General features: G+C 44.3%; 1 long non-coding RNA gene across 5 annotated transcripts in view, besides 1 other annotated feature; it reads right to left on the reverse strand.

Annotated features, from left to right (window-relative positions):
* Positions 1–25844, reverse strand: part of LINC00673 (long intergenic non-protein coding RNA 673) — a 189483-nt gene that overhangs the window by 66099 nt on the left and 97540 nt on the right. The gene's annotated exons all lie outside the window — the stretch shown is intronic.
* Positions 6921–7834: an enhancer, noted in NCBI's record as "OCT4-NANOG-H3K27ac-H3K4me1 hESC enhancer chr17:70472481-70473394 (GRCh37/hg19 assembly coordinates)". NCBI's record gives its function as "activates a minimal SCP1, AML or CMV promoter by ChIP-STARR-seq in naive H9 embryonic stem cells {active_cell/tissue: H9 hESC(naive)}" and the evidence as "EXISTENCE:reporter gene assay evidence [ECO:0000049][PMID:30033119]".

Consider the following 25844-nt stretch of genomic DNA (forward strand, 5'->3'; position numbering starts at 1 on the left):
TGGTATTATGTGATGTGCAGTAGGAACCCGGTCACCACTGTTTAAATAAACAAAGCACCACCCCTGGCCTCTCCGCCTCACCTCAAATCCCCATCTCTAGAGGTCAAGTAGACGTTTTCCCAAGCAAAAGACTCAGGCGATTCCAGGAACTCACCAGAACCCCTCCTGTGTCCTCCATCTCAGCTTATTCACTGCACCCAGATCTTAGCACAGGGGAGACAGTCAAGAAGTGTGTGCTAAATAATTAGGGAAAGAATAACCATTTGTCTAGCTCAGGTTTACACTTCCGACATCATCTCGGGTGCACCCTCTCTTTCCCCACAAGCATTCTGACCCCATGCTGTCAATTCTACCTTCCCAGTGGCACCTGCTTTCATCCCCGCTTTGTCTCTGCCACTGCTGAGGCCTGGGCCCTTATTGCTGCTCCTCCAGTCCACCAGCCAGCCCTCACCGCCATCTGTCCCTCCCTAACCTGCTCCGAGAGGACCAGGCCAGGCCAATTCCTAACTCACAAGCTTCCCAAGCCTCCCACACTCACAGGCCAGCTGTAGAAACCCTGTCCCTTCTTGGCCCCACCCACCATTTCAACCCCATCTCCTCCGTGACCCCCATGGCTCCAGTCCCACCCAGCTACTTACTGGTCCTGGGAAGCCCTGTCCAGATTCACCTCCGGTCTTCAGCTCAAAGCAGGCTTCCTCTACCTGAACTGGCCATCTCTTCTTGCCCACTACAGCTCAGGCCTTAACAGCCGGCGAGCCTTCAGGGCCTCCTCAAAACTCCTCTCTGACAACTCTCCCTGTCTTCCCCAGACGCTCTGGCCACATTCTCACACTGAAGTCAGGGGGATCACGTACCCAGAAGACACAAGCCAGACACTCTCCTTTATGTGATGTTTGTTTGCCACCCGCCTGAAGATAGGCACCGGATCTTACACTTCTGGGCCTGGAAAAAAACATCTTCCACAGAGCAGATGCTCGTATATTACAAGTATCTATTTATACATGAGTCTATATAAGTGCGCTTCCCTTCTCCCCACCCAGTCACCACTGGAGTAAGCCTTGTGCAATTTACCAGTGACCACCTGGCAAGCCACAGGGCCCCCATTTTGCTCACATCAGGTAAGACTCATACTATCTTAGGGAGCATCTAGTTTGGTGGTTAACAGTGTGTCATCTGGAGGCTTCCCCCAGGGGCTTTCAGGAAGGATAGCAAACCGAGGCATGCCTCTCAGGACTCTCCGGCCCCCTTCAGCTGCACCATTCAGACGTCCCACAGATTCCATTTTCACTTAAGATTTTGTTTACACAAAGGGATGGCTACAATTTGCCGTCCCTTCGTGTAAACAAAATCTTACATGAAAATGGTTGCACAAATAAGTGGCTACAATTTTTTTAACTAAACTATCAGTGTACTCCAACCAGTTCACCTTATACAAGAGAAGAGAGAGGACCAGAGAGGGAAGGCAATTTGCCCAAGGTCACACAGCTAGTAGGGGGCAGATCTCCCTCCAAACTGGCCAATGCACTTACACCTGCCAAATAAGGCCACATCCCAGGGAGAGGCCCTGCAGCACACAGAAGAGAAGAAGCTGCACAAACCAGGGATTCCCCCCAGTTTCCAACCATGGGTTCCATCACCTGCCTCATGTTCCTCAGTGGATCATTCAAGATCTCCTCAAAGGTAGAGGGGTCTCAAACTCAGCAGTCTGCAGGACCAGGTAGCAAACAGGAATGTAGCTTCAGGTAGCTTCAGGAACCAGTTACCAAACAGAAATGAATGAAGCTGGCTGGACATAAGAATTAACTAGAAGGTTAGAGAAACCATGATGAACCCAAGGCACTTTGCAACTCACAAAGTCCATAGCCAAGGGAAAACCCTGACTCAGAGTCCTCAATGGGCCCACTTTTTCAATCAAAGCCGGAGATCCAAAACTTCATAGGAAATATCTACCATCTCAAAAGTGGCAGCTAACTCAAACCATTTTAGCGCCAGGTATCAGTAAAAAACACACCCATACCCAGGCCTCTGGACTGTTGGTTTGTGAACTCTGCCCCTAAGGAATGTCTTTCTGGTTGAGAGAGCAGTTAATAAGACAGAGATGCAAGGTCTGAGATCCTGAGGTTATGGTGACCCTTGGGTCTGAAAGAAGCTTTATAGAATAAGATGTAACTTTCTCTCTTTTTTTTTTTTTTTTTTTTTGAAAGGGAGTCTCACTCTGTCATCCTGGCATGACCTCGGCTCACTGCAACCTCCACCTCCCAGGTTCAAGTGATTCTCCTGCCTCAGCCTCCTGAGTAGCTGGGATTATAGGCACGTGCCACCACACCTGGCTAATTTTTTGTATTTTTAGTAGAGACTGTGTTTCACCCTGTTAGCTAGGATGGTCTCAATCTCCTGACCTTGTGATCCTCCTACCTCAGCCTCCCAAAGTGCTGTGATTACAGGCATGAGCCACCGTGCCCGGCCGATGTCACTTTTCTAAAACTGAGGTGATTTCAAACAACTTACACAAATCCAGTTCTTGTATCCATGGTGCCCAGACAGCAGCTTGGGATATAGAGTGTTCTGGGGAAAACAGGCAGCAGAAACAAACCAGTCATGTTTTTCTAATGAAACCCTTAAAGTGCCCTCCTTAAGTCAGTCCGGTTCTGATTTTAGAGTAATAATGACGACAATAAATTAAAGAGAGGAGTCCTAGCAGTTTCCAGCCTGAAGTTGTTCTCTGTTGGAACATCCTAAAATTCAGACAGACATAAGTAGGAGAAATGACCCTAGTTATCAGGGCCAGCCCATCTCCACTGCACTTTGCATCCCGTCCATAAAACAAGATGATTTACAGATACAGAGGGAGGGACCTCTCGCTTCCCCTCTGCAAAATTTATTCCTCTTTAATGAGCTGCCATGCCTCTCCCTTCCTTCTAATCTCTTCCTCCCCTTGTTTGCTCACCCTCTTCTGCCTCTGCCTTTGCCTCCTCCAAGGGAGAGTCAGCGTGTCCAGGTGGCAGGATGCTACTGGTAGAATAAAATGGTTTAGGAACAAAAGAAACAAGTGAAGTTGGCAGAAGGAGGGAAGCTATCTTCAGACTGAAGAGGTTGGACTGGCAGATGTGGGATTTCCTAGGACCCACCTGGCTTTTATTGGGGAAAGAAACTTATTAAAGTGAACTATCCCACCTCTGGTGAAGAATCAGAATGCAGTGCACAGTGGCCAACGGGGGATGGGAGAATGGCTTCCCATAAGGGAGACACAAATGATTTCTGCTCCTTGCACACAGCTTTGGGACTAATGGGGACCAGGATCTATAATCAGACACCACTGTAATAACCCCACATGCTTACCCTTTCTTGCTCCCACCTCCCACTTGTCTTCTCCAATAAGTAATCACCCTGAGCCCTGGAGGCAAGAGGTTAGAAAGTGAGAGAAGGGCTTGAAAGTTACATGCCTGTTGATGAAGATTCCTGCCTTGGACTATGAGAAGGTCTCCTCTGGAAGAGAGTAAAAAATCCCTCAACGCAAATAATAAAAAACACTTTTTTGATATATGAAAAAATGCTCAACATCATTAATGATCAGGGAAATGCAAATCAAAACCACAGTGCAATACCACCCTACTCCTGCAGGAATGGCCATAATAAAAAAATCAAAACATAATAGATGCTAGTGTGGATGTAGTGAACAGGGAACATTTCTACACTACTGGTGGGAATGTAAACTAGTACAACCACGATGGAAAACAGTGTGGAGATTCCTTAAAGAACTAAAAGTAGATCTACCACTGGACCCAGCAATTCCACTCCTGGGTATCTACCCAGAGGAAAAGAAGTCACTATCCGAAAAAGATACTTGCACATGCATGTTTATAGCAGCACAATTCACAACTGTAAAAACGTGGAAACAACCCAAATGTCCATCAGTCAATGAGTGGATGAAGAAACTTTATATATATATATATTTTTTTCATATATATATTCACATATATATTCATATATATGAATATATATGAATATATATGTGAATATATATGTGACTATATATGTGAATATATATGAATATATATGAATATATATATGAATATACATGAATATATATATGAATATATATGAATATACATGAATATATATATGAATATATATGAATATATATGAATATATATATGAATATATATGAATATATATATGAATATATATGAATATATGTATGTATATATATGAATATATATGAATATATGTATGTATATATATGAATATATATGAATATATGTATGTATATACGCATATACGTATATACATAATGTATATACGCATATACGTATATGCATATATGTATATACGCATATACGTATATGCATATATGTATATACGCATATACGTATATGCATATACGTATATACGTATATGCGTATATGTATATACGCATATACGTATATGTATATATGTATATATGTGTATATATGTATATATGTATATATGTATATATTCATACATATATGTATGAATATATGTATGAATATATACGTATATATATATATGAATGATGGAATACTACTCAGCCATAAAAAGGAATGAATTAATGGCATTTGCAGCAACTGGATGGGATTGGAGACTACTATTCAAAGTGAAGTAACTCAGGAATGGAAAACCAAACATCATATGTTCTCACTCATAAGTGGGAGCTAAGCTATGAGGATACAAAGGCATAAGAATGACACAATGGACTTTGGGGACGCGGGGAAAAGGGTAGGAAGGGAGTGAGGGATAAAAGACTACAAACTGGGTGCAGTGTATACTGCTCAGGTGATGATGCAAAAAAACTCACAAATCACCACTGAAGAACTCACTCATGTAACCAAACACCACTTGTTCCCCAATAACCCATGGACATAAAAATTACAAAAATAAAACACTTCTTTGTCATACTTCACAAAGCTCCTTCATAGCCATGAGCCCATTTGGTCCTTTTAACAACTTCTTCTAGGTTAGTATGACTTCATCTTATGAACAAAGGACTAGGGCTCAGAGAGGTTCAATGACTTGGGCCAGGTCACACAGCTCGCTAGTGACAGTTTTTCTTACTCCAAGTCTAGAATTATTCCTACTTAACGATACCTACCCAGGTTGCTTGGGATCAGGAGACCAGGAAAGGAAAGGAGGAAAAAAAAATATAAAAGAGAAAAATGCAATATCCATGGTTAAAATAAAAGATGCAAAGGTCAAATGGAATTTTTGAAAGTACTTCTCAGACAACACTGAGAAACAGCCAAGCATGTATCCTGCTAGGTCTTATTTTTCTTTTCAACAACAAGATATTTTTTCCCCCTCTGCATCCCAAAATTATGTTGTCTCTCTTCCCTTCAGGCCCCAAATGCCTTTTAATCTTTGCAACAACTCTACAAGGAGGAGAGGGTTGGGGCGGAAGACTGTCAGGCATGATGGACTCCAGATTGCCCATAACTTCATCAGAGACCCTCTGCACAAACTCCCCAGCGGCCAAGTAACCCAGATGGCTCCTCTGGGACTGTTCTCTGAGTGAGACAAGGCAAAGTCAAGATTGTGCTGTGGTCTTCAGGCTCCAGACCCCCAGGTGCTCAGAAAGAAGGGTCTCTGTGGACTGGGTCTGTGTGTTGCTTCACGTGGATCCAGGACACACACCCCCACTGCCAGACAGACACCTGTGGCCATTTGACTGAGTTTGCTGGAAGTGAAATGAGGATTTCTGAAGAGTATAGCCTGGTGTGAGCTGTGAGAATCTCACAGTACCGGGGAGAGCCTGTATGAAGATAGAATTGAGACCAGGTGACCTGGCAAAAGGGCTCCACCCACCCTGAGTAAACTTCAAGGCCAACCCACATCTCAGACCTGGTAGACCAGTAGGCTGGTCTCTCTCTCTCTCTCTCTCTCTCTCTCTCTTTTTTTTTTTTTTTCCTATTTCTCCATGGGAACTTCCATGAAAATGTGCTGACTGCCTCTGACCCTACTAAAAACAATGGGAAATTCCAAGTTTTCACTTTTGCCTCTTGAAGTTGCAAGGCAACTTACCTTGCAACATCGGGAAAGGCTGGTTCATTATACTAGCCTTAGAGATATAAGTACTAGGTCCTAAACTGGACCCTAACCCGAGCTTTGCTCACATAGAGGGGAAGGCCTTGGAGAGAATGAAATGAGACCCTTACGGGGGAAGCGCACCCCCTCCCTTAAAAGACTCGAGTTCAGACATTTAGTTTGGGAGCTCTCAGCTCCCGTTCTCTCCCTCCTGGGTTGCTCAACCCTCCCTCAGGTACCCAGCCTGGATCCAGGTCTGCCCACAAGGCCCTGGAAGGTGTTAGCTGATAATCAAGGCAGTCATTTAACCATCTATCTGCCTAAGTGTATACAACTCCTCCCAGGGACCTCTGCAGGCTAAGAGAAGGTTCTTTTTGAGAAAAAAAAAAAAAATGTTGCAAATTCAAAGGAAAAATGCTCTGATGCAGGGTTTCCCCATCTTGGTACAACTGACACTCTAGAGTGGACCATTCTTTGTTGAGGGGGCTGGCCCTGTAGGATGGTTGGCAGCGTCCTTGGCCTCTACCCACTAGATTCCCAGAGCACCCCTCTCCCCACAAAGCTGTCACAACTAAAAATGTTTCCAGACATTGCCAAACGTCCTCTGCAGGGCAAAATTGCCCCTGGTTGAGACCACTGATCTAATGGCAGAAGTTGGTACAGAGCTGAGAGCGGGAGGACCCATTTCTGAAGCCCCATCAGATAACCACCTGGGCAGCTGCCCGGCCAGGTTTGCCTGCAAGACTCTGATCACAGAGCATTCTGGAGACCTCGAGGTGAGGCAGCAGAGGGAACAAAATGGCCCTTCTACCTCGGAAGCAAAGGCCAAGGCAAAGTCAGGTTTCCAGAGCTCTCAATCCTTGGCAGGGGCAGGGGAAGGAGACGTCGAAGGCAAAGCCGGACTCAAACGTTTCAGAGAAACCAAGGGCCACTTCCAAAGTCCTTGCCTTTGAATGGAGATGGCTTGTCTCACTGCTGTTTTCTTTTCTAGTCCTTCTTTATTCACCGTGGTTAACTCCTCCTCTCCCAAGGTGTCCGTTTGTCCCTCCTAAGGAAAAGCCTCCTAGTGTTTGTCAGTCTAAGAGGAAAGAGAAACCTGAAAAGGCCTGGGCTGCTTTTAATTTACCTGGGCAGGTGTCTGTGCAGCCTCTGAAACTATCCTGAAGTTGGAGTCCAGCTGGGACCCTGATTAAGATGCAGAGAAAACCAGAGAGGAGAGGAGAGGAGTGAGGTGGGGGGCGGGGGCGGGCTGATTAATTGAGAAAAACACAACCATGCCGTGTTTGAATAAGATTGCCCGGTGGAATGCAGAGCCCTTTTTTGTGTGCTCATTCGTTTGAAACAAAAGCGAATAGAGGGAACTACAAAGGGGTCAGGGGGAGGGGAGAGCGGCAGCCAATGGATTCCTGCGAACAGACCTCGTGTGGGGGGACGGAGGCGCTACCTTGGCAGGCACTTGTCAGGGCAGTCACGGGCATTTGCAGATGAAATCTTTTCCACACAAGTCCTTAACTTCATTTTTCATTCCTATTCTACCATGAGGAGTTCATCTCCAAAATTTAATCATTTAAACTTCCTCTCTAGACCAGCACGGTCCAGGACAGAAGCCTCTGGGCAATGAGCCTTAGAAACATGGCAAGTCTAAAACTGAGATGTGCTGTTGAGTGTGAAATACATGCCTGATTTTCTACATAACGTATATTTTCTCGATAATGCATATCATCTCCCTAATACTTTGTTTTATATCGATTGCATGTTGCAGTAAGATTGGGGATATACTGGGGTAGAGATCAAATATATAACTGAAATTGACTTCATCTGTTTCCTTTGTCCTCCTTTCGGTGTGGCTACCAGAATGTCTGAAATCACCTGCGTGGCTTGCGTTTTATTTCTCTTGGACAGCACTACTGTAGGTGGATGATTCTGGGTAGCTGGTCTCTCTCTTCCACCCTCCCTCCTGCCCTGGATTGCAGACCCTCCTCAGATTGTCTGGATCCTTTCCATGAGTATATCAATCTTCATTCATTTGCCAAAGACAATTTGCGTGCAGAATTTTTTCTGCACACAAAGCACTACGTTGACATCTATAGGAGACCCCCAAATGAAAATAAGACTTTTGGATAGGAGGCCAAGGCTCCGAAGAACCTGACAAGGCCCCTTAAGAAGCAAGGCTGAGAGAGCCAGCCCCAGGGCTCCCACTGACAGAGAAACAGCGAAGCCTTCTCCCAGGCCTCGGCTGCCATATTGGACTGATTCCAACTGAGCAGCCGGGGAAGGTTAGTTTTCATTTCACCTTCCACAGAGAAGTGGCTTTTCTGGTTCTGCTTATCTTCCGGGTGACGCTAACCCTGCCACCTGTTGTCCTTCTATAGATCACAGCTTTTTTTTTTTTTTTCCCCCTTCTGACACAAGGATTGTATGGTTTTGAGAGAAGACCCTGTGTTTGAGGAGATGGGGTGTCAGGTCCTGGCCACCGACCCAGCACCTTCACTGGCCTTCAGCTTTGGTTTATGGCAGGCCCAAAAGAAGGCAATGGGAAGTGGTTAAGAAGGGCATTCTCCCAGGACTTTGGGAGGCTGAGGCAGATAGATCACCTGAGGTCAGTAGTTTGACACCAGCCTGACCGACATAGTGAAACCCTGTCTCTACTAAAAATACAAAATTATCTGGGCGTGGTGGCGGGTGCCTGTAATCCCAGCTACTCGGGAGGCTGAGGCAGGAGAATTGCTTGAACCCGGGAGGCGGAGGTTGCAGTGAGCCAAGATCGTGCCACTGCACTCCAGACTGGGCGACAGAGTGAGACTCTGTCAAAAAAAATAAAAAGAAAGAAGAAAAGAAAAAAAGCAGCAGCAGCAGCGCTTTCATGGGCAGGCACAGTGGCTCACGCCTGTAATCCCAACACTTCAGGAGGCCGAGGCAGGCAGAGTGCTTGAGCTCAGGAGTTCGAGAACAGCCTGGGACACATAGTGAAACCCCCCTCTCTACCAGAAATACAAAAATTAGCCAGATGTGGTGGCATGTCCCCATAGTCCCAGCTACTCAGGAGGCTGAGATGGGAGGATGGCTTGAGCCCAGGAGGCGGACTTTGCAGTGAGTTGAGATCATGTCACTGCATTCCAGCCTGGGTGACAGAACGACACTGTCTCAAAAAAAAAAAAAAAAAAAAGAAAGAAAGAAAAAGAAAAAGGAGGACATTCATCATCCCAGCCCACTGCATGGACTTTGAAGAGTATTTTCATCCAAAATGTCCAAGTTAAATATCAGTGGTCGGTATGATCTAGAAGAGGGGTTCTCAATGGAGAAATATTGACCCCCTCTCCAACGGGCGTTTGGCAGCATCTGGAGACATTTTTAGTTGTCACAATGGGGAAGGTGTACGCTACTGGCATCCACTGAATAGAGACCAGGGGTGCTGCTACACATCCCCCCCACCAAAGAGAATTGTCTAGCTCAAAATGCCCATAGTGCCGAGGCTGAGAAACTCCAATCTACAATATGGAGGAGACCAGTATCCTCCAACCCCCACCACCACCAAGCCAGAGCTTGCTCTAATCTCTGGCATCAGGAGTATCCATCCTCCTTCAACACTACCTTCCAACGCACCTGGGAGTGAATCCAGGAAAACCTGAAGGATCAGGACAAGAAGAACAACAGGGAGAAGAAAAACAGCACAAACATGATTAAATCAATTAGTCCCGCTAATTACCAAGTGTCTAACTTAGCACCTGGAGCAACAGCTGGGGTTGCACAGAATTGAGCAAACATCATCCCCAACTTGGGCAGGCTCTGGGCATACTGACTTGCTCCTCCCTGCCTTCTTCTGGCAAAAGACTTTGAGTGAGAAAAGACTAAGCAATAAAGTCCTAGAGCAGAGTGACCGCCCTCTGGAGGCAGGTTCAATGCCACAGCCACATCAGGTGCACCTGCCCACCCCACTGAGGACATTCCCCGAAGAGACAATTGCACAAGGCAGTAACACCTCCTCTTGAGCTGAGGTCCTGGCTTCCCAAGCTGCTGACGTCTGCAAACAACCTCCATCAAAAAGTCCAGGGAGATCTCCCACCTCCATCAGTATTGCTCACCCTACGCTTATGAAATATGCAAAGAGAATGAGATTGCCTCTTCTCCCCACTCTGCTTGAACTCATTCTACTCTGTTCCTCTGGGTCTGTGTTTTCTCAATTTCTCAATTATAAAAGACCTGTCATTTGTTCTACAAGGTGCTCCCACAAAGACCCACAGCCCTGCATCTTGATGCTATGATTTCCCTCCTTGGAAGTGGCTGCCACTGCAAAGTCTTACCAGAAGCCCGCTGAGCTGGTAGCCTCCCCCAGCCACTCAGTGGCTCCACACTACCACAATGCAGTAACCAGACCCTGTTGCACCATGCATCTCACAGCTGCTTCCTCCTTGTCACCACTGAAATGCAGCTGTCCACAGCCACGTGGCTGCAGGTAAGGTCCTCCAGGATTCCACTCAGGGACCACATTTAATTTTGATTTAATACCTGCTGTTGAAGTTATTCTCCCAGGTTCCATATTTTACCTGGTTAACTGGTGGCTCCCAAAAGATATGTCCACATCCTAATCCCAAGAAGCTTTGACTATCTCCTTATGGGAAAAAGGGTCTTTGCAAATGAAATTAAGGATCTCAAGATGAGATCATCCTGGATTACCTAGGAGGCCCTAAATCCAATAACAGGTGTCCTTTATAAAAGAGAGAGCAGAAGACAGACACACAGAGGAAAAGGCCATGGGAAGACTGATGTGATGCCACCACAAGCTAAGGAATGCCTGGGGCCTCCAGATGCTGGAAGAGGTAATGGAGGATTCTTCCTTGGAGCCTTTGGAGGGAGCACAGCCCTGCTGACAAGCTGATTTTGGACTTCTAGCCTCCAAATTCTATATTTGTGTACTTGGATATTATCTATCTCTCCCATTTGAATATATGCTCCTTAAGGGCAGGGGCGTGTTTGCTTATTTACTGCTAAAACTCCAGCAAGGAGAATGCCTAGCATATAGTTAGCTATTAAAAATATCTGGTTGGGGCCAGGCGCAGTGGCTTACGCCTGTAATCCCAGCACTTTGGGAGGCGGAAGTGGGCAGATCACTTGAGGTCAGGAGTTCGAGACCAGCCTAGCCAACATGGTGAAACCATGTCTCTACTAAAAACACAAAAACTACCCAGGCATGGTGGTGGGTGCCTGTAATCCCAGCTACTTGGGAGGCTGAGGCAGGAGAATCACTAGAACCTGGGAGGCAGACAATGCAGTGAGCTGATATCGCACCACTGCACTCCAGCCTGGGCGATAGAGCGAGACTCAGTCTCGAAAAATAAATACATAAATATCTGGTTGGATGAATGAAGTCATAGTCCATATTTTCAAAAGCAGAGATAGTCTAGAACATGCTACTATATCCTAATTCTGGAGCATTTCTGCAAATAAAAAAACTCCCTGCATCTTCCCTTTGGGTTACCAAGGATTTTTACACATATCACACTGACCCCCCTGAGAAATCTACCCTGATTTGTCTTTTGGGGAAAAAAAAAATGGGAATTTTCTCTGAAGGGAAATTCCTGTGCTCCTGGTGGATAAATAAAGCACATTGCCTGAAATGCCCCTAAATTTTTAATAAGTGTTTTAACATCATTTATTACATCTCCCATTGCTAGCACTTTCTTAAAGAAACACAAATTAAGAGGCACAGTAGGTGAACACTTGGGGAAGGGGATGGTTCCTCAACAGGCAGAGGTCATGCTGAGGAGCAAACTGATGCTCCCCAGTGTTGGCCAAGTGGATGGTCAACACTGAGATTTGCAACATCCCTGCACCTGGGGATATTCATAACGTTGACATCACAAACAAGACCTCTTCTTTAGGGACTCCAGACCAAAGAAACCTCCGTGTAAAGGAATGACATTCCTTGGTCGATGGGTAGCTCAGCCCAGATAAGCTCAACAGGACCCCCAATAACTGGCCATAGAGCATGCTCTGGTCTTTCCAGAAGGTACAAATGGGGCCCTCCCTCTTCACCCTTTCCTAAGATTTAGATGTGCTAGTAACATCATGGTACTTTTTGAGGTTGGGATAATAAGTAAACAGAAGTCTTTTAAGATTTTGATGCAGGGAACATTAACAGGAGACAGAATTTGGAGTAGCAGGAGAATTTGAAAATGTTAAAGAAACTTTGTCCTTCCAAAGAAAGCCAAAAATATTATTTGCACTTCAGTCTGCATTTGTCTGGAATGCTTACAAAACTAATTAATATGGTGGCTTCTTTTTTTTGAGCTTCCAGTTAAAAATTGCCGACTCACCATTTTGTTTTCCTGGCCCGGGGACAATGTCTGAAAAAAAGCTCTTCCCTCCAGAGATAGAGAAAAGAACAAAATGAGCCCCTCTCTGCTAGGGAAGGGGAAGGGATACCTCTAAGTAGAGCACATTTTAACATCTGCTTTAGGCTGAAATGGTACCACACACACCAAAATCCACCATCTCTCATCACATTTCCCATGGAGAACTCAGCCAATAAAGGAAGTGACATCTCAGGTGTTGGTCCGACAGCCATCCCAATTATAAAAGCTATCTCCATTATAAAAGACCTGTTATTTGTTCTGCGAGGTGCCTTTTGCCCCAGCTGTACACAAAGGGCAGCAATGGCATAAAATGATGACGCTGGAGTAGTGACAGCCGGAATGTCGCCATGACAGTCAGAAAAGGTTGAGATGACCAACTAGCATCCCTCCCTGGGCAGGCAGATGAAAAAGAAAAAACTCAGTAAAAACAAAGGTTGGATCATGTGTTTCTTAACTCTTTACCAGTTCCAAAAAGAGCTAGGGTGCCTCCCTTGCTAATAACAAGAGGAAGAGCAGTAAAAACAGTCATGAAACACTTCCATGAGAGGGGCATCCGCCCTGGACACTCCACAGGCATCCTTTTACCTTCCCACTCACCAGCGCCAGCCTCAGGAGGGGGCATCATGGTCCCGGTGCTAGAGATGAGGACTTTGAGGCTCAGATGAATGGAACAGCCATTTGCAATGAAATTATTGTTTGGTACTGCTGGGTGCTGTATTCGTTTGTTCTCACATTGCCAGAAAGAAATATCTGAGACTAGGTAATTTATAAAGAAAAGGGGTTTAGGCCAGGTGCAGTGGTTTACACCTGTAATCTTAACACTTTGGGAGGTAGAGATGGGTGGACCACTTGAGGTCAGGAGTTTGAGACTAGCCTGGCCAACATGGTGAAACCCCATCTCTACTAAAAACACAAAAATTAGCTGGGTATGTTGGCACACGCCTGTAGTCCAGCTACTCAGGAGGCTGAGGCAGGAGAATCACTTGAACCCAGGAGGCAGAGGTTGCAGTGAGCCGAGATTGCATCACTGCCCTCCAGCTTGGGCAACAGAATGGGACTCTATCTGGAAAAAGAAAAGAAAAGAGAAAAAAAGAAAAGAAGGAAGGAAAGAAAGAAAGAAAAAGAAAGAAAGAAAGAAAGAAGAAGAAAAGAGGTTTAATTGGCTCACAGTTTCACAGGCTGTACAGGAAGCAGGAGGCTGTCATCTGCTCAGCTTCTGGAGAGGCTTCAGGAAACTTATGATCATGGCAGAAGGCAAAGGGGAAGGAGGCCTGTCTTACTTACATGGCCTGAGCAGATGGAAGAAAGAGAGAGGAAGGGGCGGGTGCTACACACTTTTAAACAACCAGATCTTGTGGGAACTCGATCACAAGAACAGCACTAGGAGAATGGTGTTAAGCCATAAGAAACCACCCCATGATCCAATCATCTCCCACCAGGCCCCCTCTCCAGAACTGGGGATTACATTTCAACATGAGATTTGGGTGGGGACACGGATCCAAACCCTATCAGGTGTCAACTTGGACAACCCAAGATTCTTCAAATATTTATCCTCCCCAGTTATCCTGAAGCTGAAGGCATTCATTCGCAAACACTTTTACCTCACAACCTCTTCTGAGGATCCCACTCATTACCCAGCTTTTCCCTATACCTCTCAGCATTGCCAGATCCCATCCCCAGCAACGCCTATCCCCTGGGAAAGAATTAATGCAGCCAAAGTTTTGGAACCCACGGTTCTCCAAATCCCACACTTTGGCATGAAAAATGGTCAATGTTTCTAAGCACCCTAGGGGTATTTCTCTTGCTATCATGATGATACAACCAGAACGTAGGCAGGACCACCAGTCACACCCATCCAGGAGCCCACCTTGGTGACCCACAATTTAGCACCCCTATTTTCATTCCTGGTCAGTTTGTCCAAATACGAAGCCAGGATCAGCAAAGTTCTTCAGTGAAAACCCAGAGAGTAAATGTGTTTGGTCTGGTCAGCCACACGATCTCAGTCGAAACTACTCAACTTTGCTGCCGTAACTCAAAAGTAGCCACAGAGAGTATGCAAATGAATGTAAGTGGCTGTGTTCTAATAAAAGTTTATTTACAAAAGGTGGCAGGCTGGATTTGGTTCATGAGTTGTAGTTTGCCAACCCCTGTATTAGACTGTAAGCACTCTGAGGTGAGGGACTCCGTCCTTCAGTTCTCTGAGTCTTTTTCAGACTTTGTCCAGAGTCCTGCTTAGACAAGGGACTTTGCGAATGTCTGCTGCCTGCAAGGAAGTTCCCTGGGGATCCACATGGGAAGAGAGAGTAGTGGGAAGGACAGAGGCTTTAGAATCACATACACCTGGATCCAAATCCCAGCTCTGCCACACAGCAGCCATACATTGTGGTTTCATTGTCCTGAACTTGAGTTGTAAAATGAGAAGAGCACTACCTACCCCATAGAATTGTGAGATTCAAATTAGATTAAATGTTGATAACTTAAAAATAAAACATACAAGGAGTGCTGAGAAAGTAGGCACAAGGTTAACATATGGCTGGGGAAATTTTGGATAACCGTTTTGAAGTCTGTCCATCTATCTATTTGGGGTGTCATCTATCTGTATCAAGGACTATTGAAATATACATGGCCAGGCGCAGTGGCTCACGCCTGTAATCCCAGCACTTTGGGAGGCAGAGGCGGGCAGATCATGAGGTCAGGAGATCGAGACAATCCTGGCTAACACAGTGAAACCCTGTCTCTACTAAAAATACAAAAAATTAGCCGGGCGTGGTGGCGGGCGCCTGTAGTCCCAGCTACTCAGGAGGGTGAGGCAGGAGAATGGTGTGAACCTGGGAGACGGAGCTTGCAGTGAGCAGAGAGTGCACCACTGCACTTCTGCCTGGGCAACAGAGCAAGACTCCATCTCGAAAAGAAAGAAAGAAGGAAGGAAGGGAAGAAAGGAAAGAAAGGAAAGAAAGGAAAGAAAGGAAAGAAAGGAAAGAAAGAAAGAAAGAAAGAAAGAAAGAAAGAAAGAAAGAAAGAAAGAAAAGAAAGAAAGAAAGAAAGAAAGAAAGAAAGAAAGAAAGAAAGAAAGAAAGAAGGAGAAAGAAAGAAAGAAACATATTTCTCCTTATAAAAATTTATCTCAACAAAATAATCACGGATATACGCACAGGTTTTGTTACAAGGATGGCCATTGCAGCAACGTTTTTAATTTTTGCTACTTTCAACAATCTAAATGTCCAACCACAGGGGATTATTTAAATTAATTAAAGTACACCATGCGATAGAATACCAGGCAATTGAAAATGCTGTAGGACAGCAGTTCTCTATGCACGGTCCCTGGACCCTGAGAGTTTCCTGTACCCTCTTCTGGCAGGGAGGGCAGTCTACAAGATAAACACTACTTTCATAATAATATCAAGATGCTGAGGTCAGGAGTTCGAGACCAGCCTGACCAACATGGCAAAACCCCGTCTCTACTAAAAATACCAAATTAGCTGGGCGTGGTGGCACATGCCTGTAATCCCAGCTACTCAGGAGGCCGAGGCAAGAGAATCGCTTGAACCCAGGAGGCAGAGGTTGCAGTGAGCCAAGATCGCGCATTGCACTCTAGCCTAGGCAACAAGAGCGAAACTCCATCCCCCACACCGACCAAAAAAAGGAAAAAAAAGATGTTATTGCCTTTTTCACGGAGTACATCTGCACCAATGGTCCAAAAAAAATGGCAGGTATAATTATCAACACTTTAGCATGAATGAAGGCAGTGGTGCCAAACTGCTACCCCACACTCACAATAAATATATATTAATGCAAATTTCACCTAAGAATATCCTTGGTGATGCAATAAAAATAGTCAATTTAATAAATCTTGACCCTTGAGTATGTCTCTTATTTCAATACTCTGTATGACAAAATGGGAAGTGTGCATAAAACGTTCCTGGCACATAGTGGAATATGATGTTTGTCTCAAGAGAAAGCACTTAGGGGAGTATTAAGCTGCCAGCAAAACCAGCTGCATTTTTCACTGAACACCATTTTTACTTGAAAGAACTGACAGACAAATTCTGGGTATTCACGCTTGGGTATCTGGCAGACATTTGCTCGAGAATGAATTAAGAAAGCCTGCCATTTCAAGGGAAATAATAACGGTGAAGGATGATACAATTTGAGCTACAATAAAGAATTATAATTTTTAAAAATTTGTCTTCATCACCATGAACTTGACAGATTCCCAGTTCTGACAGACCTCTCTGATATCGAGGGTGAGGTTAAAGAATGTGATTCTTTGACATTGTAAAATGAAATGTATTTATATTTGGAAGATCTGTATAACTTAATTGAATTAACATTTTCCAAATGACTAATAAATGATGTTTCAAAATCTGGCATGGGTAAAAGATCCATTCAAAGTGCAAGGCTGAATAAATATTAATGTAACAGAATAAGAAAGTTCATTAAAATGTTTTTTTAAGTTTACATTGCAACCACCTTTAAAAAGACTACCATTTGTCAAATTTTTGTGAAATATCAAAAAAATGCATAATTATCTGAAAAGGCTATGAATATACTTCTCTTTCTTCCAAATACATGTCTGATTGAGGCTGGATTTTCTTCATATACTTTACAACAACATGTCTTTATAGATGGAATGCAGACACAGATTTCAGAATCCAGCTATTTTCTCTTAAGCCAGACAATATAGAATTTAGCAAGAATATAAAAAATCTTACTCTTCTCACCAATTTTTGTTTTGGAAAATATAGCTATCTATCATAAAAATATGATGTTAACATGCAATTGATTTATCATTATTTTAAAATAAATATTTTTTATTAATTTTTCAATTTGAATTTCTAATATAGTAAAAATCAGTAGTTCTGACCAACATAAAAAAAAGCTCTTTGAGGCTCTCACTAATTAAAAAATGCAAATGAGTCCTGAGACCAAATGTTTCAGAATCTCCATTGTAGAAGAATATTTAACAACTAGAGGAAATACCTACAGGACACTGTTAAGTAGGGGGAAGTCAGACTGTAAAAGACTCTGGCAAATACAGGTGATTTTATTTCATGTTTTGGGGTGGGGGGGTTCTAATTTTCTAGAATACACAATGCATAGATGAATAGTAAAGAAATGCTTTCAAAATTATTTCAGGTCTTGCCCCACTTAGACTCTCTCAGGAAGTCTGTAGACAGTGCCTAACACATAGTAGGTGCTTATTAGCTCTTTCAGGTGGCCTAAAATAGTTTTTCACAGACAGACAATGACTAATTGGCTTAGCATTAGTGTCCTCTCCCTGTCATGCTGGAGGGATGTTTGTTTGCTTAACAAAAAGCCTCATACTTTAAAATATACATGCATATATATTTCTGAGCATAAAATATATATATGTTAAAGTATGTAATATATATATATATCACCTACACAAATATAGCATTTAATCAACGCTTATATTTAATATTATTTTCTACCACGCAAAGAACAACATTTACAGTACACCTTAGGCTTCAATGTAGAATAACCTGATTCCTAAAATAGAATCTATTTTCTTCTGGGAAGTGGAAGAGCTACTAAATTCTCAAACGACAACAACGTACGATGATTTCAATTAAAACATTTCTTTTTTAAGCCACAGGAGATGCTGGGAAAGCCATAAAACTCAACCCAGGTTGGAGGTGAGGAGTCCTAACATCTAAGAGAAGGTTGAGAACGGAAGCTTGAATTTGTTTACTTTCTGTGAACAGGAAAAATAATCATAAATAGCAATGCTCCCATATCATTAGAAGATGCTAAGAAAAGACTAATTTAAAAAAAAGAAAAAACTGCCTGGTCTTTGGTCACCTTGTTCATGCTGGGTGGCCTTGAGTAACCAACTCTGAGATTTCTGTTTCTGCAGCCGTAAAAATAAGCTAATGAGCATTTCCAGGGGGCCAACGAGCGCCAGAATGCTAAAGACCAAGGTGGTTGGTTCAGAAGAATTTCTGGAATGGGCATCCTGGCTTTCAGAAGCTCCAGAGACCTCCAGCCTGGCACCCAGGAGGAATGATTCTGAATCTCTGCTCCCTCCTGCATGGAGAACCTCTGGGAGGCCAGTTTTGAAACCCATTCTTGTTGACATGCAGAGCAGCCAGTTCTGTTTCCCCCGGCCCTGGGGCCCAGCATCACGGCCCCTGAGGCTATTTCCTGGTCAGACCCAAGGCATACACAAGACCCCTTCTGAGGTTTTCCGTGCCACCTCTCCGGGCGGCTCTGGCAGGTCGACATTGCTCCCTTAGGCTGCATAATTAGCAGGCTTCCAGTCGCCATGTGGTTGTGGTTGCCCGCTCCAAACACAGCCCTGCAGCCCCCTCCTCACCGGCGCCACCTCCACCGCCAGTCCACACACGTCCCCACCCTTTCTTCCCCCAGCCGCACCTCACCAACTGTGGGTCCCCACACGGCAGCTCCAGGGCTGCTGCCACCCCTCACATTGACACGTTTCCTAATCCTCTGGCAAACGCAGAGCAAGTCCACAGAACCCTGCTGTCACCACCTCGGAGCCAAACTTAGTCTCAACTCATTTAGAGACTTTGCAAGCTTTGGTGGGAAAAAGGAAAATGCAGAGAGCTCAGACTAATCTGTGTCTATCATCTAGATCCTGCCCTCTTCATCCCACGCCATTCTCCCTGCCCCTCCAATAATCACAAATCCCACTATTAGAAGGTAAAGTTTTAAGAGGTCATTTCATCTATCCCTCTGTCTTTGGGTAGGACTGTCTTCAAAATACACATTAAAAATGCTCTGTCTATGTCTACAGGGCTGATGCCACAGCCTCCTCCTTTGTATAGGTGCATGGGCAGTTAACCTACAGGTGAATGCACAGTCAAGTTCACACCTACGCCTTCGACAAGCAACATTAAACATACAACCAAACACCATCTGTACCTGTCTCCGTGCTGACTGGGGACACTCCCCTAGACCACACTGACAGCCTCCTCCTCCCCACCCACACCATCACAATGTCTTCTTCAAGTCAGCATGGAAAGGGCAGGAGAGCACACGAGTTGATGAGTTTTCCATTTTAAAGAATAGGGACGAGCAAAGCACTCCCTCTCCTGTGTTTGAAAGTTTACTTGCAGCTTCAGCAGGCAAAGGGCTTTTTTTAATATAATAAAAAAAGTTATATGACTTTAATTAAATGCACTTATTAAAAGGGTGAAATATTTGGAGAGGCTGTTTTTGTGCTGGAGGCACATTTTCCAGCGTGCTGTAGAGCGTCTGCATCCGCCCGCTCTAGGCAATTTTTAATGCACAAATAAATCCGCACCTGACGTGCTGACAGATTATTATGCAGTGTGGCAGCCAACAAAAGTAAACACAGGGGCAAGTTTTAACCTCTTGCAGTCACAGAGCTTTCCCTGCTGGGCCCAGCTCAGGTGTACAGGACTGCTGGCAAAGCCTTTTCTTCCAGTTAGGCATCTTCCTGTCCAGGAGCCCAGCCTTGGAAACAGGAGGCTGTCATCCTGTCTGGAGTGTGGCATAAGCCACAGGACAGGAGACGAAGGGAGGGGATAGAGAGGAACAGCAGCACCACATCACATTCCCCAAGCACCCTGCCTTCCATCCTGTTTATACTGTGGCCATAAGATCCACAGGCTTCTGCCCTCCGTCGATCCTTCCAGCCGGCAGAGCTGGCTGTGCAGATGTAATGCCCAGCCAGGTGCTTCTCCCAGCTCTGCCCAATGTGAAAGAGTCAGGACAGTTACTAGAGAGCTAGAGGGTAATCGGGCAACTTCCAAACTTTGGACTTTAAGTTATGGACATGTAAATTAGCATACAGTCAAGGCATTTCCTGAAACCAAACTACAGAACTGCTCATCTTCTGTTGCTCTGGTTAGATAGGGCTTGCAAAGCGACACTCCTGGAAAGGCACATGTTGCAATGGTCAGAGGCTTTGGTTTTACTTGCCTGGCCTCTGTGACATAGCTCAGTGGGTTCATTTATTTTTCATATCATGTTTTAGCTCCATGGCTACTAGATTTTTTAAAACCTAGGTTTCCTCATCTGTATAATATGCCTTCGGCTGGGGGAAGGAGAGTCTTGGGATGAAGGCGTGTTCTCACAGTCTGTTGGGGTTGACATTCACTGATCCATTAGTCTATTACTCTGTCACTAAGATCAGACAGTTGTATTCTGCATCTGTGAATAATAACAGCTCTTGTTATTCTAATTTATTTGGTGTTTACTACAATCCATACCTGATGCTTTAATACATGCTCTCATTTTATCTTCAAACTCTCCAAGGTCCAGATCATTAATCTATTTATTATCACCACTAATTTGAATAGGCACCATGTTGCCCAGTGTTCACAGTTATCCAAGCTTCATCATGTTCATTCTCTCAACAATCTTATCATACTCAGTTTACAGAGGAGGAAAAGGATGCTTAGAATGTGTTATTTTGCCCAAGGAATCCATTACATGAGCCAAAATAAAAGCACAAGTACAAAAAAGCAACCACATCAAACTTTAACTCACTAGAACATAGATATTGCAAATATAGAGCAGATTAATTAGGACCACTGAAGAAATATCCTTGTTTTTTTCTCTATAAATAAGATTGGGGACCCATATACTTATTTTTAAAACAACAGGAAAAGTTTTGGCACAATGAAATGTGATCAAATAAACAGAAAATTCCTGCAGTGGGTAGAAGGCTGGGGGAGGTGACCTTCAAGAACCCTGCCAACACATCTCTTCGGTGAACCGATTGCTTTGACACTGGAATCTACCCCCTGCCCCTAGAATTTGGGGGAGAAGCTTTGGCACGAGCTTTACATTAGCAGCATCTCCATTCACATTCTACCTCTTCATGACACTCGGATTGAATGTTCTCTTTCATACTGGCTGAGAATTTTGGGGCTGTGGCAAGGAAAGAAGAAGAGAATTTAGCCTATAGATTCTCTTTGTTTGCATACTTTCCCTCTGGTCTAGGAAAGACCAGCAAAATTCTGATCATCACACTGAATGCTTCTCCCACCAGCACCCAGGAGAACCAGTTAGCCATTACCAGGTAGATCATGTCTCTTGCACACATTTGTCAACCTCCTGAGTTTGGGGAATGCCCCACCTCATGAAACAGATGCTGACACCTGCTACTAAGGCTGACAATGCCAGGCCCTTCTATTGCCAGCCTCCCTTGCATCTAAGGCAAGAACACCAGGCTTAGGTTTCCCTAGTCAGTCACAACTATGCCCAACTTTGAGCTGGAATCAGCAGAAGCCCTGAAAGATCCACTCTGGTGAGGGTTGGGGTAACAGCAGAAAGTATTTGAGTACTTTCTAATTTGAGGCTATTACAAAAAGTGCTACTATGAACGTTCTAGCTCATAGAACACTAGTGGCAGGAGCTATGGTGTACAGGAATTCTGGCAAAGCACTGGTGTCTCTCTAAGCAATGGCCTGCTTAGAGAGAGAGTGATTCCAGTGAAGCCTCCTACACCCAGTGTCAGTGGTGTAGGCTAAGATGGGTGTGCCCACCGGTAGGAATGATATCATCATCAGACCAGCTTTTCTGTGCTTGAGACATGTTCTTGGCAGCAGAACCTCCAAACCTGGCTTCCTTACCCTCATGGAGATGCTAAGCTATACAATCTGCATTTTTTTTTTAAGAGATGGGGGGTCTCACTATGTTGACCAGGCTGGTCTTGAACTCCTGGCCTCAAGCAATCTTCCCATCTCAGTCTCCCAAAGTGCTGGGATTACAGGTGTGAGCCACCAAATGCCCAGCCACAATCTGCTTCTAATAAACCACTCTTTGTCTTAAATTAGCCAAAGGTGATTTCTGTTGCTTGCAAACAAGAACCCTGATGGATATAGGATCCTGTACAAAAACCCTGGCACTGGTGTTTGGAAGTTATACAGCACTATGTCTGTTCAATTGGTTTTTGTGTTGTTTTGCTTTCATTAATTTTAACTTTTTATGGCAATAACATATACAATAGAAGAATGCACATTTCATGAGAGTACAGGTCATCAAATTTTCATGAAATAGACACAACCGGCTGGGTGCAGTGGCTCATGCCTGTAATCCCAGCACTTTGGGAGGCTGAGGTGGGCGGATCACGAGGTCAGGAGATCGAGACCATCCTGGCTCACACGGTGAAACCCCGTCTTTACTAAACATGCAAAAAAATTAGCCAGGCATGGTGGCGGGTGCCTGTAGTCCCAGCTACTCAAGAGGCTGAGGCAGGAGAATGGCGTAAACCCGGGAGGCAGAGCTTGCAGTGAGTCGAGATCACACTACTGCACTCCAGCCTGGGCGACAGGGTAAGACTCTATCTCAAAAAAAAAAAAAAAAAAAAAAATAGACACAACCATGTAACAGGTACTTACATCAAGAAACATATCATTACCAATCCACTCAGAAGTCCACTTCCTGCTCACTTTGTCTTTACCACCAAACAAGGACAGTCACTCTCCCAACTTCTGACACCACAGATTAACTTTACCTATTTTTTGAACTTTATGTAAATATAGTAATACAGTGCATAGTCTTTATCCGGTCTAGGTGTGATCTTTGTTATCTGTTTATCTGTCACTCAACATTATGCTTGAGGGATTCCTCTATACTCTTGTGTGTAGCTATAGCTATTCATTTTCATTGCTGTATAATATTCTGTTAAAGGAATATACCACAGTTCATTTATCCATTCTACTGTTGGTAGTCATTTGGGTACTCTCTAATTTGGAGCTACCATAAAAAAATGCTGCTATAAACATTCTAGTACATATCTTTTGGTGAAATATGAACACATTTTTGTGGGTATATATTAATGCTCATAAAGTATGAATATGTTTAATTTTAGCTGAGACTGCAAAATATATTAGCATGATTTTTTTCTTTAAGACAGGGTCTCACTCTGCCACCCAGGCTGGAATGTAGTGGCACCATTATGACTCACTGTAGCCTTGACCTCGCGAGCTCAGGCTGTCATCCCACCTCAGCCTGCTGAGTAGCCAGGACTACAGGTGCACATCACCACATCTAGCTTTTTTTTTTTTTTTGGTAGAGACAGGATCTCACTATGTTGCCCTGGCTAGTCTCTAACTCCTGCACTCAAGTGATCCTCCCACCTTGGCCTCCCAAAGTGCTGGGATTACAGGCATGAGCCACAGCAACTGACAACAATAATTTTTAATTGAACTCTCAAAATAATTTTTACCCCAAAGGCATGACACTGGGAAAGGATAAGAAGTGTAAGGAGACAGATGTACGTAAAACTTCATATGGAGGCATTTCCCCGCTTTACTGCAGAGGTATTAAGATCTATAAAGACCCTGGTGTTCGGCATTTTGCCACTCGGCTTGACCTGGGTTAAATAACTGCTGACAGGTCATTGTGAAAGTCAAGGGCACAGCTGGGACAAGGCATCTGAACTCTTGGCCTTCTGACCCAGCAGCAGAGAATCACACATTTTTGCCAGCACCACTGGCCCCAGGGAACCAGCAGCCAACACTAGCGTCTCACCCAGTATCACCACTTTCTCCAGCATCTGAGAGGGGATGGCTTGCATTTGGAGCCCTATCATAAGGCCTGAATGCCTCCAGAATCAGCAGTCACTTAAATTAGGCCAAGAGGGCCAGGTGTGGAGGGGATGAGGTGGGGATTGGTGGAGATTTGAATAAATTGAGAGCGAATGTCCAGTCTTAAGGAGACATTTATTACTCAGGTTGTTGATTTTTGCCATATGGGAAAAAAGAGGCCATTATTGCCAGATTTTCTGGCTTTTCAAGGGAGGTTAGAAAACGTTTTTTTTTTTTAATAAGATATTGCAATTTGTGCTGTTGGCAACTAATTTTAAGAAGTTAAACATGGACTACTGTTAGCCAGGTGAAACACATCTATGGATCAGATCTGGCCCAGGAACCACTGGCTGACCATCTCCAATTTGGAAGGACTCAGCATTTCAGGCTCAAAGGAGAGAGAGGTCTTCTATGACTGCACAGAGCACACATGAAAGAAAGCAACTGAACACCAACTCTGGAGAGCACAGATGCTTGGAGTGTATTCCAAATCCCCTCTCTCTCTTACATGGAGAAACTCCCTCTATAACTATGACCTGTTTTGTTACCTCGATGTCGACATCATTAAATAAAGAGCCCTTCGGATCATGAACACCTCAGACAAGGTGCCTCACACTTGAAGAAAACTGAGTCTTTTTTTTGTTTTTCCTTTGCATCTGGCCATTATGTGTCCTATAATGACTGCAGGTCACTGCCTCTGCCCCCAGCCCTCATTTCTCAAGGCAGAATCCATTTGAGTTGACGACACCTGGAGCGGCTAAGCAGCACTTGAAAAACGATTTACCCACCAAGAAGTCATCAATGAGAAGACACTCTCTTTAGCAAATCAGACCTTGTTTCCAATCAGCTCAATCTTCATGCTTGAGTTTTCAACATTTTACTCAGCGAAGCTGGCTGCAATCACATGAATGTCAATGGGCTACTTAATTCTTCCTTTCTACTTCTTCCCCAACCCATAATCACAAATACCATTTCTCTGCCTCTGCCCTCCTTCCCTCTACCTGACTGCCCTCAGAATACCACACACGCATACACACTCCACTTACACATGCACACACACACGTCCATTCATCAATTCCAAGAACGAATTGGTGGGAACAATCTAGCGACAAACATATATGGGAATAGGTTTGCATTTACTTCCACTTGTCTTCACCACCCACTTTCTAGTTCCTAGTTAAGTATCAGGCATGTAGTGAGTGTTTGATAAATATCTCTCCAATGTCCTGTAGTTCCTCAGACAAATTTGCAAGACCTCATGTGTGCTATTAGCATCAAACAGCTGTTTTGGAGTGACATGAGTGCTTACCAAGGATGTAGAATCTCACCACGCCTTGCAGACAGGTTGAGACAGGTGTTCACCAAACAAGGAAACAGGGATGCAAAAAGATGCTGAAGCCATCTGGGCAAAGGGCAGTTTGGAGAGGCAAGAGGAAAATCCTGTTGCAAGATCCCAAGCCTCTAAAACCCTGGTGTGCCTACCTCCACAGTGGCTATATCTCATCCAGTGATCATGACAATTATTCAATAAATTACTATGTGTTCAATAAGCATTAGCTACATATCAGACACTTGACATCATGAACAAATGTAATTCTCGCAGCAACTCTATAAGGCTCACTGAGGAATCTTAGGATAAAGAGCTTGCCCAAGGAGCTTATCAAGTTAATCTCAGAGGTTCCCAAGGGGGAACTTGGAGGAATAAGGTGAGGGAACATTTGGGGTTGTCACAACACACAGGTGACTGCTGAAATGTAGTAGGCAGGGGGCAGGAAAGCCGGAGATCTACATCATTCAGGTCTTTTCCCACCCAAATGCCATCATCAGCCCAGTTGAAAAACACTGCTTTTTAAGCAAGGGCAGAGCCAGGATCTGCACCTGCCTACAAGCAAGTCTGCCTCAACAG

The sequence above is a fragment of the Homo sapiens genome, chromosome 17, assembly GCF_000001405.40.
Source record: "Homo sapiens chromosome 17, GRCh38.p14 Primary Assembly".
Lineage (NCBI taxonomy): Eukaryota > Metazoa > Chordata > Mammalia > Primates > Hominidae > Homo > Homo sapiens.